General features: G+C 45.2%; 1 protein-coding gene across 33 annotated transcripts in view, besides 1 other annotated feature; it reads left to right on the top strand.

Moving 5' to 3' along the window:
• The window catches only part of NBPF1 (NBPF member 1), a gene marked incomplete in the record, with an annotated part of 51,142 nt that overhangs the window by 25,231 nt on the left and 6,511 nt on the right, over positions 1-19,400 (top strand). For 25 of the 33 annotated variants that reach the window (NM_001405693.2, NM_001405684.2, NM_001405683.2 and 22 more), the window contains 14 exon segments: positions 537-609; positions 1,073-1,284; positions 2,636-2,845; positions 4,638-4,740; positions 5,576-5,790; positions 6,842-6,914; positions 7,378-7,589; positions 8,932-9,141; positions 10,915-11,017; positions 11,853-12,067; positions 13,105-13,177; positions 13,642-13,847; positions 15,141-15,192; positions 19,098-19,261. In NM_001405693.2, the coding sequence (NP_001392622.1) occupies positions 537-609; positions 1,073-1,284; positions 2,636-2,845; positions 4,638-4,740; positions 5,576-5,790; positions 6,842-6,914; positions 7,378-7,589; positions 8,932-9,141; positions 10,915-11,017; positions 11,853-12,067; positions 13,105-13,177; positions 13,642-13,847; positions 15,141-15,192; positions 19,098-19,261 (2,121 nt within the window). 33 annotated transcript variants of the gene reach the window in all.
• Positions 11,560-12,060: an enhancer, noted in NCBI's record as "H3K27ac hESC enhancer chr1:16902769-16903269 (GRCh37/hg19 assembly coordinates)". NCBI's record gives its function as "activates a minimal SCP1, AML or CMV promoter by ChIP-STARR-seq in naive H9 embryonic stem cells {active_cell/tissue: H9 hESC(naive)}" and the evidence as "EXISTENCE:reporter gene assay evidence [ECO:0000049][PMID:30033119]".

The raw sequence follows: 19,400 nt of genomic DNA, 5'->3' as shown, positions 1-19,400 counted from the left end.
TTGGAGAAGGCACTTGGTGTAGGGGCATTTGGTGGTAGGAAGTGCTTCAGACTGGAGCACTCCCCGTGGATAGAATGTCCCTGAATAACACAGCAGAAGCCACATGGAGGGCCTGTGCAGTCTCATGATGCATAGAGGACTGTGGGACAAGTTTGTCCTCTCCTAAGAGAAAGAATGAGGTTTGAAATGCGAACTGTGACAGGACACCAAGCCTGTTCCTGGGAATCAGATATGTGGCAGGATGGGGGCGACAGCTGCCAAAGTCCAGAGAGAGGCTGCACAAGCCTCCAGTGATATGGGAAGCAAAAGGTCTTTTCAATATTTGACCACATCTTGATGGTGGCCCTCCAGATCAGAAATGCATTGCCCGATGGACCAGGAAACCATGCCAGGGCATTTTGTGAAAGATAAAATATGACAGTTTTCAGTACAGTGCTGAACCATACATAGATGTTCATGTCTCTGTGCACATTGGGCTGACTGTGCTTGCAGAATGTGAAGTGGGAAATATCTGAACGAACATTTTGTATTTACAGAAAATGACGAAGATGAGGATGAAGATGTTCAAGTTGAGGAGGCTGAGAAAGTACTGGAATCATCTGCCCCCAGGTAACACTGAATACTCGGGAGCAAGTAATGGGTGGTAACATATGAAAATGTGTAGGAGGCACACCCTCTCTGGCATCTATGATGGGCCAAAAGCCCGCATTCGCTTGGCCACAGTATGTGAAATTCAACCCAGCTTAGACACAGGGTGCGGCAGCTGTCGTGTTTCTCTATGTGTGCCAAGTGTCATGTCTGTACCATACAGGGATAGCTGAGTCTTCATCCTCCTCAGCTCCTATCTGTCCAGTGCACTGAACACCAGCTGCTCTCTTCCTCTCTGGCTCCCATGGCAGCCATGCTCTGTTGCAGAGAGAAGAGGATTGCCTGTTCCCCCTTAAAGGGAACCTCCATTTTGCTTTCTGGGACCACTGTCTTAATGCCGCCTGTCAAAACCAGCTAGGACTCCCTGGGGTCCAATCCCTCTGTGTTTAATCTTCTGTCATCTCTGTCCCACCTGGCTCATCAGGGAGGTGCAGAAGGCTGAAGAAAGCAAAGTCCCTGAGGACTCACTGGAGGAATGTGCCATCACTTGTTCAAATAGCCACAGCCCTTGTGACTCCAACCAGCCTCACAAGAACATCAACATCACCTTTGAGGAAGACAAAGTCAACTCAACTCTGGTTGTAGACAGAGAATCCTCTCATGATGAATGTCAGGATGCTGTAAACATTCTCCCAGGTAGCCTCTATTTTCCTTGTGTCTCATACCTCTGTCTAGGCTATGGAAGATCAATTCTGAGGACAGGCTGTATATACACATATTGTTATTCTTTTAGTCAGAAACTAGGATGGAGCTAGGTTCTGTGACTCACACATATAATCACAGCACTTTGGAAGGCCCAAGTGGGAGGATGACTTGAGTTCAGGAGTTGAAGACCAGCCTGGACAATATGGTGAAACCCATCTTTACAAAGAATACAAAAAATTAGGCAGGCATGGTGCTGCGTGCCTCTAGTCCCAACTGCTCAGGAGACTTAGGTGGGAGGATCGGCTGAGACGATCCTCCCACCCTGGTTCACTCCTCTCAGGCTAGACTCTCTCTCCTTTTCATTGGCTTGTCTTAGCTATTAATAAGAAGTCTCGGCCGGGCGCGGTGGCTCACACATGTAATCCCAGCACTTTGGGAGGCCGGGGCGGGTGGATCACGAGGTCAGGAGATCGAGACCATCCTGGCTAACACGGTGAAACCCCGTCGTTACTAAAAATACAAAAAAAAAAAATTAGCTGGGCACGGTGTTGGGCGCCTGTAGTCCCAGCTACTCGGGAGGCTGTGGCAGGAGAATGGCATGAACCCAGGAACCGGAGCTTGCAGTGAGCCTAGATTGTGCCACTGCACTCCAGCCTGGGAGACAGAGCGAGACTCCATCTCAAAAAAAAAAAAAAAAAAAGTCTCTGACCGGGGGTGCTGGCTCACATCTTAATCCCAGCACTTTGGGAGGCCAAGGTGGGCGGAACACCTGAGGTCAGGAGTTCGAAACCAGCCTGTCCAAGATGGCGAAACCCAATCTCTACTAAAAATGCAAAAATTAGCTGGCATGTTACTTGGCGCTTGTAATCCCAGATGTTTGGCAGGCTGAGGGATGAGAATCACTTGAACCCGGGAGGCAGAGGTGGCAGTGAGCTGAGATTGCGCCACTGCACTGCAGCCTGCGTGACAGAGTGAGACTCCGTCTCAAACAAAAAACAAAAAACCAAAAGAGAAAAATATCGAAAAAGGAAAATGCAATCTTTTGTGCTACACAGAAACATTGGCCACTCATGGGGTAAAAATCTCAGGGCCCAGCCTTGCTTTATAGAAACTTATAAGCAAGAAAAGTGTAGAAGTGTTTATGTCCTGGTTTCAAGGTGACTGCATAGCTAAGACAAGTTGACTTAAAGGAGATCAAGACTGGAGATGACAAGAGTGAAACCAGGGAAACAACATTTTCAAATAAGTAGACAAGGCTGCCACTGACATCCCTCAGTGTGATTAAACCTATTTGATTTCACCAGTTTTTAACCCATCATGTGTTTGCCTTTCTTCTCCCCAGTCCCTGGCCCCACCTCTTCTGCCACAAACGTCAGCATGGTGGTATCAGCCGGCCCTTTGTCCAGCGAGAAGGCAGAGATGAACATTCTAGAAATCAACGAGAAATTGCATCCCCAGCTGGCAGAGAAGAAACAGCAGTTCAGAAACCTCAAAGAGAAATGTTTTGTAACTCAACTGGCCTGCTTCCTGGCCAACCAGCAGAACAAATACAGTAAGATCTATAGGCTCACCATCACGAAAGTGATGAACGAAGTCCTGTCTTCTCTCTGAGAAACTAAGTGCTCTCTCCATCTAAAATAATGTCATCCTCCCCATACTTCTAGGAAAACAGAAATGGGTATTTTAACATTTTGTTAAAGTTGGAAGAGAGAGGTACCAAAGTATTTAGCAACTTTCCATGTTTGCAATCAGGTGGGGGTGGGACTAGAGTTAAACTGCCATTTATTGATTTCTGACACAGGCACAGAATGACCTGTTTTCTCCAAGAGGCTCAATCATGTTTCCAAGAATCCTCTCTGTACCATGTAAGATCCTGCAGACAAATAACATCTAGTCTGTTGTTCTAAATGTCTGAGACTAGTGAACTTTTATTCAGTTCAAGTTTCTGTTGAGGCCCAACAGGCACAGCTCTGTTCTAGTGACTCTGAGGGAAACTTGGTGATAGTAGCCAGTACCCGCTCTGAGGGGCTTCAAGAGGAGTCTGCTCCTAATAGAACCTGTGCTATCTATAAGTGACAGCATCAAGAGCAGGGAGTAGGGGCTGTGCATGGTGGCTCACTCCTGTAATCCCAGCCCTTTGGGAGGCTGAGGCGGGCAGATCACAAGGTCAGGAGTTTGAGACCAGCCTGGGCAACATGGAGAAACCCCATCTCCACTAAAAATACAAAAAGTAGATGGGCATGGTGGCAGGTGACTGTAATCACCCCTGCTCAGGAGGCTGAGGCAGGAGAATCCTTTGAACCCAGGAGGCTGAGGTTGCAGTGAGCCAAGATTTTGCCATTGCACTCCACTCTGGGTGACAGGGCAAGACTGGTAAAAATAATAATAATAATAATAATAATAATAATGATAAATAAAAATAAGAATAAGAAGCAGAGTGTAGCTTGGTGAGAGTGAAGTCCTGCTTCCTGGGGCACAGAGTCTTGTTCCTAAAGAGGAAGAAAGATCGCACCTGAGAATGTGTGGAGGTAGCAGTGCAGTGTACAGAGCAGAGACCGTGGGCCTGTCTCCTGGGCTCCATCCAAGTTGCTTGTCTTGTCTGTCCCTCAGTTTCCTCACCTGTTCAGAGGGTACTACAATAATACCTACCTCTGTAAATTGCTGCAGTGAATTACATGAGCTATTTCTTGTCAATCTCCTAGAACATTTATTGGCACACAGTAAACACTATCTATTAGTTCTTCATTCTGCTGTTTCTAAATTAACACAAACTTTATTAGCATTTGGGCATATTTCCTTCATGACCTTATGGTGTTATGTGTCACACTTTATGCTTCAGATATGATTCTTAAAATCATAACTGAAGATATGATTTAAAAATCAAAGATTTTTAAAATCTTTCGCATACTTGTCTTTGAAATTCCCAGTAAAAGGGAAACCGTCAGTCCCATAGTCCTAGGGGCCTTCCCGACTGTACAAGAAATCACTACTTCATGCCCCAGTGCAGTGTTTTAGAGGAGAGGCTGCAAGTCTTGGGAAAGTGGCCCTGCATTCAGAGTCAGACCTCAGGGGCTGTGAATTCTGACTCCACTTCGTTGTGGTTGAATCATCTTGTCAACTTCCTTGATGTGCCCTTGAGGTTCCCTTTCTTCATCTCTAAATTTTGGAGGATCAGATGCCAGAAAGTCAGGAGACTGAAGAGTAAAGATGTGGAAATCCCTGTCTAGACCCTGGTACTGGGGAGAGTTTTGTCCTTGGGATGGACCTGGCTCCTGCCCTGTAGGCAATGACCACAGCAGCATGTCCAGCCTTCCACTGAGGCAGGCGTGTCTGTCTTTTCTCAGAATATGAAGAGTGCAAAGACCTCATAAAATCTATGCTGAGGAATGAGCGACAGTTCAAGGAGGAGAAGCTTGCAGAGCAGCTCAAGCAAGCTGAGGAGCTCAGGTGAGGGGACCCCATGGGGGCAGGTGGGGGAGCAGCTGTGTAAATCTCTGAAGTACAGCAGCTCGGTGGGGAGACGTAAGAGCTAAGCTGGGCCAGGGGAAGGGCAGGAATTGCCATGGCAGGCTCGCAACACACAAGTATTTATCAAGCAGAGAAGAAGGATAATAAAAATTTATGGGTTGCAGTTGTTTCTTAGAGCCTTGTTTTCTCTTTTTCAAACAAGTAATTGTTGATGTGAAATTTACATAACACAAAATTAACCAAAGGAGTGTGAACCACACAGCAGCACTCAGTATACTCAAAATGGTGTGCCATCACCACCCCACTTACCCTTAGTGAGAACCACCTTCTGACTGACTGCGTCTTCTCATTCTTTCACTCAATCAATGTTGCCTTCTTGACCCTGTCATTCTTTTCTTCTTTCGTCTTTTCAATTCGCCCCATCTGCACCTGGCCTCATTTCTGTACATGGCTTTGTATCTAGTGGCTGCAAGTTGCACTATGTGTATTTTCACATGGAAATGTCCATGGCCAGAGTGAGGAACTGAAAGGATGTCTTTTTGAAACGGAATTAGGAAGACACCTACTTTTGTTTACAGAAGGGAAAGATGAATGGAACATCATCGAGGATCTTGCAGGAGCCCTCTCTGATACAGAGGAAGCCTGTAAACCATTTTCTATTATTTCTCTTGGCCACAGTCATTCCTTTCAACATGTGCTGACCTTCTGCTTGGAGGTCTCCTTGAGGACATTGTCTCAGAAATCTCTGTTGCAATATTTGAACGGATCACTCAACCCTTTCCACTCTTAAATTTTCTCTACCGTCTCACCTTAGGCAATATAAAGTCCTGGTTCACTCTCAGGAACGAGAGCTGACCCAGTTAAGGGAGAAGTTACGGGAAGGGAGAGATGCCTCCCGCTCATTGAATCAGCATCTCCAGGCCCTCCTCACTCCGGATAAGCCAGACAAGTCCCAGGGGCAGGACCTCCAAGAACAGCTGGCTGAGGGGTGTAGACTGGCACAGCAACTTTTCCAGAAGCTCAGCCCAGGTAAGGTGGCCATAGGCCCTGATGACCCAAAACCCCAGGCTTATGAGAGGCTCCAGACCTCCATACTTTCACAATGACAGTTGTATCAGTGGGGTTATTTTCTGCTACACATATGTGGCCATGACATGACCAGGACTTCCTGGGTAAGAACAGAGATGGGAAACCCATGGGGTTGGAGGTCACAGTATTGCAAGTGTCCCTCCTTCCTTGATGGAAGGTGGTCTTTGGAGCAAGAGGCAGCATCTGTCTAGTTTTAAAGGACAGGAAGGAGGCTGTGATGGGAGGGCGCTTGTTGGAGTGAAAAGAGCTCTGGGCTAAGAATGAAGGTTCCCAGGCTGTCTTTTTGGCAATGTTCTTAGTAACTGTCGGTGAGTGAGTGATTTATCTTTCCAGAGTTTCTCTCTCTCCATCTGCAAAGGCAAACAAATTGTCTCTTGCAAGGGTCTGAAGCATCCAAATATGGGAACACTTACGAATGCTTTTTAAAATGAGATGCAGCCCCTCTCCGTTTGGTGTTGGAGAAGGCACTTGATGTGGGGGCATTTGGTGGTAGGAAGTGCTTCAGACTGGAGCACTCCCCATGGATAGAATGTCCCTGAATAACACAGCAGAAGCCACATGGAGGGCCTGTGCAGTCTCATGACACATAGAGGACTGTGGGACAAGTTTGTCCTCTCCTAAGAGAAAGAATGAGGTTTGAAATGCGAACTGTGACAGGACACCAAACCTGTTCCTGGGAATCAGATCTGTGGCAGGATGGGGGAGACAGCTGCCAAAGTCCAGAGAGAGGCTGCACAAGCCTCCAGTGATATGGGAAGCAAAAGGTCTTTTCAATATTTGGCCACATCTTGATGGTGGCCCTCCAGATCAGAAATGCATTGCCCGATGGACCAGGAAACCATGCCAGGGCATTTTGTGAAAGATAAAACATGACAGTTTTCAGTACAATGCTGAACCACACATAGATGTTCATGTCTCTGTGCACATTGGGCTGACTGTGCTTGGAGAATGGGAAGTGGGAAATATCTGAACGAACATTTTGTATTTACAGAAAATGACGAAGATGAGGATGAAGATGTTCAAGTTGAGGAGGCTGAGAAAGTACTGGAATCATCTGCCCCCAGGTAACACTGAATACTCAGGAGCAAGTAATGGGTGGTAACATATGAAAATGTCTAGGAGGCACACCCTCTCTGGCATCTATGATGGGCCAAAAGCCCGCATTCGCTTGGCCACAGTATGTGAAATTCAACCCAGCTTAGACACAGGGTGTGGCAGCTGTCGTGTTTCTCTATGTGTGCCAAGTGTCATGTCTGTACCATACAGGGATAGCTGAGTCTTCATCCTCCTCAGCTCCTATCTGTCCAGTGCACTGAACACCAGCTGCTCTCTTCCTCTCTGGCTCCCATGGCAGCCATGCTCTGTTGCAGAGAGAAGAGGATTGCCTGTTCCCCCTTAAAGGGAACCTCCATTTTGCTTTCTGGGACCACTGTCTTAATGCCGCCTGTCAAAACCAGCTAGGACTCCCTGGGGTCCAATCCCTCTGTGTTTAATCTTCTGTCATCTCTGTCCCACCTGGCTCATCAGGGAGGTGCAGAAGGCTGAAGAAAGCAAAGTCCCTGAGGACTCACTGGAGGAATGTGCCATCACTTGTTCAAATAGCCACGGCCCTTGTGACTCCAACCAGCCTCACAAGAACATCAACATCACCTTTGAGGAAGACAAAGTCAACTCAGCTCTGGTTGTAGACAGAGAATCCTCTCATGATGAATGTCAGGATGCTGTAAACATTCTCCCAGGTAGCCTCTATTTTCCTTGTGTCTCATACCTCTGTCTAGGCTATGGAAGATCAATTCTGAGGACAGGCTGTATACGCACATATTGTTTTAGTCAGAAACTAGGATGGAGCTAGGTTCTGTGACTCACACATATAATCACAGCACTTTGGAAGGCCCAAGTGGGAGGATGACTTGAGTTCAGGAGTTGAAGACCAGCCTGGACAATATGGTGAAACCCATCTTTACAAAGAATACAAAAAATTAGGCAGGCATGGTGCTGCGTGCCTCTAGTCCCAACTGCTCAGGAGACTTAGGTGGGAGGATCGGCTGAGACGATCCTCCCACCCTGGTTCACTCCTCTCAGGCTAGACTCTCTCTCCTTTTCATTGGCTTGTCTTAGCTATTAATAAGAAGTCTCGGCCGGGCGCGGTGGCTCACACATGTAATCCCAGAACTTTCGGAGGCTGGGGCGGGTGGATCACGAGGTCAGGAGATCGAGACCATCCTGGCTAACACGGTGAAACCCCGTCGTTACTAAAAATACAAAAAAAAAAAATTAGCTGGGCACGGTGTTGGGCACCTGTAGTCCCAGCTACTCGGGAGGCTGTGGCAGGAGAATGGCATGAACCCAGGAACCGGAGTTTGCAGTGAGCCTAGATTGTGCCACTGCACTCCAGCCTGGGAGACAGAGCGAGACTCCATCTCAAAAAAAAAAAAAAAAGTCTCTGACCGGGGGTGCTGGCTCACATCTTAATCCCAGCACTTTGGGAGGCCAAGGTGGGCGGAACACCTGAGGTCAGGAGTTCGAAACCAGCCTGTCCAAGATGGCGAAACCCCATCTCTACTAAAAATACAAAAATTAGCTGGCATGTTACTTGGCGCTTGTAATCCCAGATGTTTGGCAGGCTGAGGGATGAGAATCGCTTGAACCCGGGAGGCAGAGGTGGCAGTGAGCTGAGATTGTGCCTCTGCACTGCAGCCTGCGTGACAGAGTGAGACTCCGTCTCAAACAAAAAACAAAAAACCAAAAAAGAAAAAAATTAAAAAGGCAAAATGAAACCTTTTGTGCTACACAGAAACATTGGCCACTCATGGGGTAAAAATCTCAGGGCCAAGCCTTGCTTTATAGAAACTTATAAGCAAGAAAAGTGTAGAAGTGTTTATGTCCTGGTTTCAAGGTGACTGCATAGCTAAGATAAGTTGACTTAAAGGAGATCAAGACTGGAGATGACAAGAGTGAAACCAGGGAAACATCATCTTCAAATAAGTAGACAAGGCTGCCGCTGACATCCCTCAGTGTGATTAAACCTATTTGATTTCACCAGTTTTTAACCCATCATGTGTTTGCCTTTCTTCTCCCCAGTCCCTGGCCCCACCTCTTCTGCCACAAACGTCAGCATGGTGGTATCAGCCGGCCCTTTGTCCAGCGAGAAGGCAGAGATGAACATTCTAGAAATCAACGAGAAATTGCATCCCCAGCTGGCAGAGAAGAAACAGCAGTTCAGAAACCTCAAAGAGAAATGTTTTGTAACTCAACTGGCCTGCTTCCTGGCCAACCAGCAGAACAAATACAGTAAGATCTATAGGCTCACCATCACGAAAGTGATGAACGAAGTCCTGTCTTCTCTCTGAGAAACTAAGTGCTCTCTCCATCTAAAATAATGTCATCCTCCCCATACTTCTAGGAAAACAGAAATGGGTATTTTAACATTTTGTTAAAGTTGGAAGACAGAGGTCCCAAAATATTTAGCAACTTTCCATGTTTGCAATCAGGTGGGGGTGGGACTAGAGTTAAACTGCCATTTATTGATTTCTGACACAGGCACAGAATGACCTGTTTTCTCCAAGAGGCTCAATCATGTTTTCAAGAATCCTCTCTGTACCATGTAAGATCCTGCAGACAAATAACATCTAGTCTGTTGTTCTAAATGTCTGAGACTAGTGAACTTTTATTCAGTTCAAGTTTCTGTTGAGGCCCAATATGCAAAGCTCTGTTCTAGTGACTCTGAGGGAAACTTGGTGATAGTAGCCAGTACCTGCTCTGAGGGGCTTCAAGAGGAGTCTGCTCCTAATAGAACCTGTGCTATCTATAAGTGACAGCATCAAGAGCAGGGAGTAGGGGCTGTGCATGGTGGCTCACTCCTGTAATCCCAGCCCTTTGGGAGGCTGAGGCGGGTAGAGCACGAGGTCAGGAGTTTGAGACCAGCCTGGGAAACATGGAGAAACCCCATCTCCACTAAAAATACAAAAAGTAGATGGGCATGGTGGCAGGTGACTGTAATCACCCCTGCTCAGGAGGCTGAGGCAGGAGAATCCTTTGAACCCAGGAGGCTGAGGTTGCAGTGAGCCAAGATTTTGCCATTGCACTCCAGCCTGGGCGACAGGGCAAGACTGTTAAAAAAATAATACTAATAATGATAAATAAAAATAAGAATAAGAAGCAGAATGTAGCTTGGTGAGAGTGAAGTCCTGCTTCCTGGGGCACAGAGTCTTGTTCCTAAAGAGGAAGAAAGATCGCACCCGAGAATGTGTGGAGATAGCAGTGCAGTGTACAGAGCAGAGACCGTGGGCCTGTCTCCTGGGCTCCATCCAAGTTGCTTGTCTTTTCTGTCCCTGTTTCCTCACCTGTTCAGAGGGTACTACAATAATACCTACCTCTGTAAATTGCTGCAGTGAATTACATGAGCTATTTCTTGTCAATCTCCTAGAACATTTATTAGCACACAGTAAACACTATCTATTAGTTCTTCATTCTGCTGTTTCTAAATTAACACAAACTTTATTAACATTTGGGCATATTTCCTTCATGGCCTTATGGTGTTATGTGTCACACTTTATGCTTCAGATATGATTCTTAAAATCATAACTGAAGATATGATTTAAAAATCAAAGATTTTTAAAATCTTTTGCATACTTGTCCTTGAAATTCCCAGTAAAAGGGAAACCATCAGTCCCATAGTCCTAGGGGCCTTCCCGACTGTACAAGAAATCACTACTTCATGCCCCAGTGCAGTGTTTTAGAGGAGAGGCTGCAAGTCTTGGGAAAGTGGCCCTGCATTCAGAGTCAGACCTCAGGGGCTGTGAATTCTGACTCCACTTCGTTGTGGTTGAATCATCTTGTCAACTTCCTTGATGTGCCATTGAGGTTCTCTTCATCTCTAAATTTTGGAGGATCAGATGCCAGAAAGTCAGGAGACTGAAGAGTAAAGATGTGGAAATCCCTGTCTAGACCCTGGTACTGGGGAGAGTTTTGTCCTTGGGATGGACCTGGCTCCTGCCCTGTAGGCAATGACCACAGCAGCATGTCCAGCCTTCCACTGAGGCAGGCGTGTCTGTCTTTTCTCAGAAAATGAAGAGTGCAAAGACCTCATAAAATCTATGCTGAGGAATGAGCGACAGTTCAAGGAGGAGAAGCTTGCAGAGCAGCTCAAGCAAGCTGAGGAGCTCAGGTGAGGGGACCCCATGGGGGCAGGCAGGGGGGCAGGTGTGTAAATCTCTGAAGTACAGCAGCTCAGTGGGGAGACTTAAGAACTAAGCTGGGCCAGGGGAAGGGCAGGAATTGCCATGGCAGGCTCGCAACACACAAGTATTTATCAAGCAGAGAAGAAGGATAATAAAAATTTATGGGTTGCAGTTGTTTCTCAGAGCCTTGTTTTCTCTTTTTCAAACAAGTAATTGTTGATGTGAAATTTACATAACACAAAATTAACCAAAGGAGTGTGAACCACACAGCAGCATTCAGTATACTCAAAATGGTGTGCCATCACCACCCCACTTACCCTTAGTGAGAATCACCTTCTGACTGACTGCGTCTTCTCATTCTTTCACTCAATCAATGTTGCCTTCTCGACCCTGTCATTCTTTTCTTCTTTCATCTTTTCAATTCGCCCCATCTGCACCTGGCCTCATTTCTGTACATGGCTTTGTATCTAGTGGCCGCAAGATGCACTATGTGTATTTTCACATGGAAATGTCCATGGCCAGAGTGAGGGACTGAAAGGATGTCTTTTTGAAATGGAATTAGGAAGACACCTACTTTTGTTTACAGAAGGGAAAGATGAATGGAACATCATCGAGGATCTTGCAGGAGCCCTCTCTGATACAGAGGAAACCTGTAAACCATTTTCTATTCTTTCTCTTAGCCACAGACATTCCTTCCAACATGTGCTGACCTTCTGCTTGGAGGTCTCCTTGAGGACATTGTCTCAGAAATCTCTGTTGCAATATTTGAGCGGATCACTCAACCCTTTCCACTCTTAAATTTTCTCTACCGTCTCACCTTAGGCAATATAAAGTCCTGGTTCACTCTCAGGAACGAGAGCTGACCCAGTTAAGGGAGAAGTTACGGGAAGGGAGAGATGCCTCCTGCTCATTGAATCAGCATCTCCAGGCCCTCCTCACTCCGGATGAGCCAGACAAGTCCCAGGGGCAGGACCTCCAAGAACAGCTGGCTGAGGGGTGTAGACTGGCACAGCACCTTGTCCAAAAGCTCAGCCCAGGTAAGGTGGCCATAGGCCCTGATGACCCAAAACCCCAGGCTTATGAGAGACTCCAGACCTCCATACTTTCACAATGACAGTTGTATCAATGGTGTTTTTTGCCACTAAGCTTATGTGGCCATGACATGACCAGGACTTCCTGGGTAAGAACGGAGTTGGGAAACCCATGGGGTTGGAGGTCACAGTATTGCAATTGTCCCTCCTCCCTTGATGGAAGGTTGTCTTTGGAGTAAGAGGCAGCATCTATCTAGTTTTAAAGGACAGGAAGGAGGCTGCGATAGGAGCAGGCTTGTTAGAGTGAAAAGAGCTCTGGACTAAGAATGAAGGTTCCCAGGGTGTCTTTTCGGCAATGTTCTTAGTAACTGTCAGTGACTGAATGACTTGTCTTTCCTGAGTTTCTCTCTCTCCATGGCAAATTGTCTCTTGCAAGGGTCTGAAGCATTCAAATGTGGGAACACTTAAAACTGCTTTCCAAAATGAGATGAAGCCCCTCGCCGTGTGATGTTGGAGAAGGCACTTTATGTGGTGGCGTTTCGTGGTAGGAAGTGCTTCAGACTGGAGCACTCCCCATGGATAGAATGTCCCTGAATAACACAGCAGAAGCCACTTGGAGGCTTGAAATCTTCTGATGCATAGAGGACTGTGGGATAAGTTTGTCTGCTTCTAAGAGAAAGAATTAGGTTTGAAATGCAAACTGTGACAGGACACCAAGCCTGTGCCTGGGAATCAGATCTGGCAGGATGGGGGCGACAGCTGCCAAAGTCCAGAGAGAGGCTGCACAAGCCTCCAGTGATATGGGAAGCAAAAGGTCTTTTCAATATTTGGCCACATCTTGATGGTGGCCCTCCAGATCAGAAATGCATTGCCTGATGGATCAGGAAACCATGCCAGGGCATTCTGTTAAAGATAAAACATGAGAGTTTTCAGTTGAACGGTGACCCATGCCTAGATGTTCATGTCTCTGTTGCACATTGGGCTGACTGTGCTTGCAGACTGTGAAGTGGGAAATATCTGAACGAACACTTCTGTATTTACAGAAAATGACAACGATGACGATGAAGATGTTCAAGTTGAGGTGGCTGAGAAAGTGCAGAAATCGTCTGCCCCCAGGTAACACTGAATACTCAGGAACAAGTAATGGATGGTAACATATGAAGAATATCTAGGAGGTACACCCTCTCTGGCATCTATGATGGGCCAAAAACCCGCATTTGCTTGGCCACAGTATGTGAAATATAACCCAGCTTAGACACAGGGTGCGGCAGCTGTCATGTTTCTCTATGTGTGCCGAGTGTCATGTCTGCACCATACAGGGATAGCTGAGTCTTCATCCTCCTCAGCTCCTATCTGTCCACTGCAATGAACACCAGCTGCTCTCTTCCTCTCTGGTTCCCATGGCAGCCATGCTCTGTTGCAGAGAGAACAGGATTGCATGTTCCCCCTTAAAGGGAACCTCCATTTTGCTTTCTGGGACCACTCTCTTAATGCCGCCTGTCAAAACCAGCTAGGACTCCCTGGGGTCCAATCCCTCTGTGTTTAATCTTCTGTCATCTCTGTCCCACCTGGCTCATCAGGGAGATGCCGAAGGCTGAAGAAAAGGAAGTCCCTGAGGACTCACTGGAGGAATGTGCCATCACTTGTTCAAATAGCCATGGCCCTTATGACTCCAACCAGCCACATAGGAAAACCAAAATCACATTTGAGGAAGACAAAGTCGACTCAACTCTCATTGGCTCATCCTCTCATGTTGAATGGGAGGATGCTGTACACATTATCCCAGGTAGCCTCTGTTTTCCTTGTGTCTCATACCTCTCTCTAGGCTGAGGAAGATAAACTCTGAAGACAGGCTCTATAAACACAAATTCATTTGAATAAAAAACTATGATGGGTTTCTAAACAGATATCAGGGAGTTTTTTTGTCCTTCTCAGCTAATGTCATGCCTTTGTCTGCCAGTCCCCAGTATCAAGTTACTCGACCCCAGGCAAGTGTGACAATCTCATAGTCACCTGAGTGCAGGAGGTGCACAGGCAGTATCTGTCAGGCCTCCTAGCTTCGATTCAGTATCTCTTGTCATCTGTGATTAAGTCATCTGTCCCTGAACAATGTCCATGGAGTTTCTATGCCTGTTTCAGGAAGCTGGCAGCCTTGCCTTTGTATTTGGAAATATTGTTCCCCAGGCTTCACTGCTCTCAGCTTTCATCCGGATCTCCTTTAAGTCAGCTTGCTTAGCTGCACAGTCACCCTGAAATCAGGACGGAAACTTTTCTTCTTTACTTTGCTGATATATTTCCATAAAGCAAGGCTGGACCCTGGTTCTCCACCCTGTCAATGCAATGGCTGATCCAATGTTTCTTTGTAGCATCGTGGATTTTTTTTTTTTTTTTTTTTTTTTTTTTTTTTGCGATGGAGTCTTGCTCTGTCACCCAGGCTAGAGTGCAGTTGCACCATCTTGGCTTGGTGCAACCTCTGCCTCCCAGATTCAAGTGATTCTCCTGCCTCAGCCTCCTGAGTTGCTGGGACCACAGGTGCACAACATCACATCTGGCTAATTTTTGTATTTTTAGTAGAGACAGGGTTTCCCCATATTGGCCAGGGTAGTCCTGAACTCATGACCTCAAATGATTCACCTGTCTTGGCCTCCCAAATCACAGATTCTTTTTAAAGCAAGAGTTGTTCAAATTTATCTATCATGTGTGTTTCATGTATAGATGCCTCTAAACATTTAATGTCCATGTTATCTGGTGATATAAGTCCGTATTGCAGCAACACTCTTAGAAAATGGACCAATTTTTGGAGATTTTTTTGGGGAAAAAATTTTGTTTAACTTTGACTCAGGCAGGGAATATGGCATTATGGTCTACACGTAGAGGGAGATTTTGGCCTGTGGGTCTGGAAAGCAGGGTCATCTAATTCTCACCAAAGTTAATCTAGGGCACCCTAGAATATTCCTGTCAGAATCCTTATTCTTGCACTGAGAATAGTTATGTCCTTGTGCTATGACTGGACAGTGATTTGGTCATATGTGAAGTATGAATTGCTTAATGTGACCTGCTTCTCTGAATTTATTTACAGAAAATGAAAGTGATGATGAGGAAGAGGAAGAAAAAGGGCCAGTGTCTCCCAGGTAATGTTGTGGAATTGTTGGCTGTTAATTCAGTAGTGACATCTGGAGATTGTAGATTTAGGGAAAATGAGGAAGTGATGAATAGAACTATTTCTTCCATTCACCCAGCTACAAATTGTGCTGATTTACAATGTTGTATGTTATTTGTGGCACTTGTATTGGTTTTAATTTCATAGTCCTCTCAAGATAGGAACTTGCCATCAGATGAGCCAGGTGAACTAGCCAAACAGGGTTTTCTTGTTGATCTTTTCAAAAAACCAGCCCTGGATTCATTGATTTTTTGAAGGGTTTTTTGTGTGTCTATCTCCTTTAGTTCTGCTCTGATCTTAGTTACTTCTTGTCTTCTGCTAGCTTTTGAATTTGTTTGCTTTGCTTCTCTAGTTATTTTAATTGTGATGTTAGGGTGTCAATTTTAGATCTTTTCTGCTTTCTCTTGTGGGCATTTAGTGCTATAATTTTCCCTCTACACATTGCTTTAAATGTGTCCCAGAGATTCTGGTATGTTGTGTCTTTGTTCTCATTGGTTTCAAAGAACATCTTTATTTCTGCCTTCATTTTGTTATTTTCCCAGTAGTCATTCAGGAGCAGGTTGTTCAGTTTCCATGTAGTTGTGCGGTTTTGAGTGAGTTTCTTAATCCTGAGTTCTAATTTGATTGCACTGTGGTCTGACAGTTTGTTGTGGTTTCCATTCTTTTACATTTGCTGACGAGTGCTTTACCTCCAACTATGTGGTCAATTTTGGAATAAGTGTGATGTGGTGCTGAGAAGAATGTATATTCTGTTGATTTGGGGTGGAGAGTTCTGTAGATGTCTTTTAGGTCTGCTTGGTGGAGAGCTGAGTTCAAGTCCTGGATATCCTTGTAAAGCTTCTGTCTCATTGATCTGTCTAATATTGACAGTGGGGTGTTAAAGTCTCCCATTATGATTGTGTGGAGTCTAAATCTCTTTGTAGGTCTCTCAGGACTTGCTTTATGAATCTGGGTGCTCCCGTATAGGGTGCATATATATTTAGGATAGTTAACTCTTCTTGTTGAATTGATCCCTTTACCATTATGTAGTGGCCTTCTTTGTCTCTTTTGATCTTTGTTGGTTTAAAGTCTGTTTTATCAGAGACTAGGATTGCAACCCCTGCATTTTTTTGCTTTCCATTTGCTTGGTAGATCTTCCTCCATCCCTTTATTTTGAGCCTATGTGTGTCTCTGCATGTGAGATGGGTTTCCTGAGTACAGCACACTGATGGGTCTTGACTCTTTGTCCAATTTGCCATTCTGTGTTTTTTAACTGGGGCATTTAGCCCATTTACATTTAAGGTTAATATTGTTATGTGTGAATTTGAGCCTGTCGTTATGATGTTAGCTGGTTATTTCGCCCGTTAGTTGATGCAGTTTCTTCCTAGCGTCAATGGTCTTTACAGTTTGGCATGTTTTTGCAGTGGCTGGTACCGGTTGTTCCTTTCCATGTTTAGTGCTTCCTTTAGGAGCTCTTGTAAGGCAGGCCTGGTGGTGACAAAATCTCTCAGCATTTGCTTCTCTGTAAAGGATTTATTTCTCCTTCACTTATGAAGCTTTGTTTGGCTGGATATGAAATTCTGGGTTGAAAATTCTTTTCTTTAAGAATGTTGAAGATGCTGGAGAGGATGTGGAGAAATAGGAACACTTTTACACTGTTGGTGGGAGTGTAAACTAGTTCAACGATTGTGGAAGACAGTGTGGCAATTCCTCAGGGATCTAGAACTAGAAATACCATTTGACCCAGCCATCCCATTACTGGGTGTATACCCAAAGGATTATAAATCATGCTGTTGTAAAGACACATGCACACATATGTTTATTGTGGCACTATTCACAATAGCAAAGACTTGGAACCAAGCCAAATATCCAGCAATGATAGACTGGATTAAGAAAATGTGGCACATATACAACATGGAATACTATGCAGCTATAAAAAATGATGAGTTCATGTCCTTTGTAGGGGCATGGATGAAGCTGGAAACCATCATTCTCAGCAAACTATCGCAAGGACAAAAAACGAAATACCGCATGTTCTTACTCACAGGTGGGAATTGAACAATGAGAACACATGGACACAGGAAGGGGAACATCACACACTGGGGCCTGTTGTAGGGTGGGGGGAGGGAGGAGGGGTAGCATTAGGAGATATACCTAATGTTAAATGATGAGTTAATGGGTGAAGCACACCAATGTGGACATGTATACATATGTAACTAACCTGCACGTTGTGCACATGTACCCTAAGACTTAAAGTATTGAAAAATATATATACATATATATACATACACACAAAAAATAATAAAGGAAAACTATACATATGGAAAAAAAAAAGAATGTTGAATATTGCTCCCACTCTCTTCTGGCTTGTAGGGTTTGTGCCAAGAGATCTGCTGCTAGTCTGATGGGCTTCCCTTTGTGGGTAATCCGACCTTTCTCTCTGGCTGCACTTAGCATTTTTTCCTTCATTTCAACCTTGGTGAATCTGACAATTATGTGTTTTGGGGTTGCTCTTCTCGAGGAGTATCTTTATGGTGTTCTCTGTGTTTCCTGAATTTGAATGTTGGCCTTCCTTGCTAGGTTGGGGAAGTCCTCCTGGATAATATCCTGAAGAATGTTTCCCAGCTTGGTTCCATTCTCCCCGTCACTTTCAGTGCACCAATCAAACGTAGATTTGGTCTTTCCACATAGTCCCATATTTATTGGAGGCTTGTTCATTTCTTTTTACTCTTTTTTCTCTAAACTTCTCTTCTCGCTTCATTTCACTAATTTGATCTTGAATCACTGATACCGTTTCTTGCACTTGATCGAATTGACTACTGAAGCTTGTGCATGCATCACGTAGTTCTCGTGCCATGGTTTTCAGCTCCATCAGGTCATTTAAGGTCTTCTCTACACTGTTCATTCTGGTTGGCCATTCGTCTAATCTTTTTTCAAGGTTTTTAGCTTCCTTGCGATGAGTTCGCACATCCTCCTTTAGCTCAGAGAAGTTTGTTATTACCGACTTTCTGAAGCCTACTTCTGTCAGCTCATCAAAGTCATTCTCCATCCTGCTTTGTTCCATTGCTGGCGAGGAGCTGTGATCCTTTGGAGGAGAAGGGATGTCAGGTTTTTGGAATTTTCAGCTTTTGTGCTCTGGTTTCTCCCCACCTTTGTGGTTTTATCTACCCTTGGTCTTTGATGATGGCGACCTACAGATGGGGTTTTGGGATGGATGTCTTTTTTGTTGATGTTGATGCTATTCCTTTCTGTGTGTTAGTTTTCCTTCTAACAATCAGGTCCCTCAGCTTCAGGTCTGTTGGAGTTTGCTGGAAGTCCACTCCAGACCCTCAAACAGGGATTTCTTGGTGTTGCCTATTCTCTCCCATGTGTTTAAATCCAGGGAGAGATGTATATATGCTTTCTTCCTATCTGTTGGTAGTATGTTGGCTAGTATTTTTGCAAGAAAAGAAATTGAAAAGGTAAATATATTATATCAAAATATTGGGAAAATGGGGCCCTTAATACACAAGATCTGTGTCTGCACTGTGTCAAGAACTCTCTTCACTTGAATGCTGCATGTAAAATTCAACCCAATTTATGCAAAGTAGTTGAAGCCCTGTGTCAGTTCTCTGTGCTGCAAGTCATGATGGTAGTTTACAGGGAGAGTCTGGGTGCCCTGAGTTGGCTCATCTGTGGCAAATGTACTGAGCACATGCTGCCCATTTTTGCTCTGTCCCCAGAGCAGTCACCCTCCACCCTGTATTTAGAAGGCTAGTTTTATTTCTCTTGAAGGAAAAATGCCTTTGGTTTCTGTGACCACTCCATTCTGTCTCCCATCAGATCATCTGGGAGGTTTTGTTGTCTAATGTCTGTTGGTTAAATCTTCTATCATCCCTGTCCTGCCTGGCTCATCAGGAATCTGCAGGAGTCTGAAGAGGAGGAAGTCCCCCAGGAGTCCTGGGATGAAGGTTATTCGACTCTCTCAATTCCTCCTGAAATGTTGGCCTCGTACAAGTCTTACAGCGGCACATTTCACTCATTAGAGGAACAGCAAGTCTGCATGGCTGTTGACATAGGCGGTGAGTACTCCATTGTGAAGGTGATAAAGCTCCAGTTCATGGCCCAGGTAGACCCCATAATCTTTGGGCCTTGTGCCCCTTGTTGGGCTGAGATTTGCCATCACTGTGGGCTGAACCTATATATCAATGTAGATTTCAA

This window comes from Homo sapiens, chromosome 1, assembly GCF_000001405.40.
Source record: "Homo sapiens chromosome 1, GRCh38.p14 Primary Assembly".
NCBI classification, from domain to species: Eukaryota; Metazoa; Chordata; class Mammalia; order Primates; family Hominidae; genus Homo; species Homo sapiens.
Note: the sequence above shows the minus strand (reverse complement) of the source record. Positions and strands in the feature narration are given on the sequence as shown.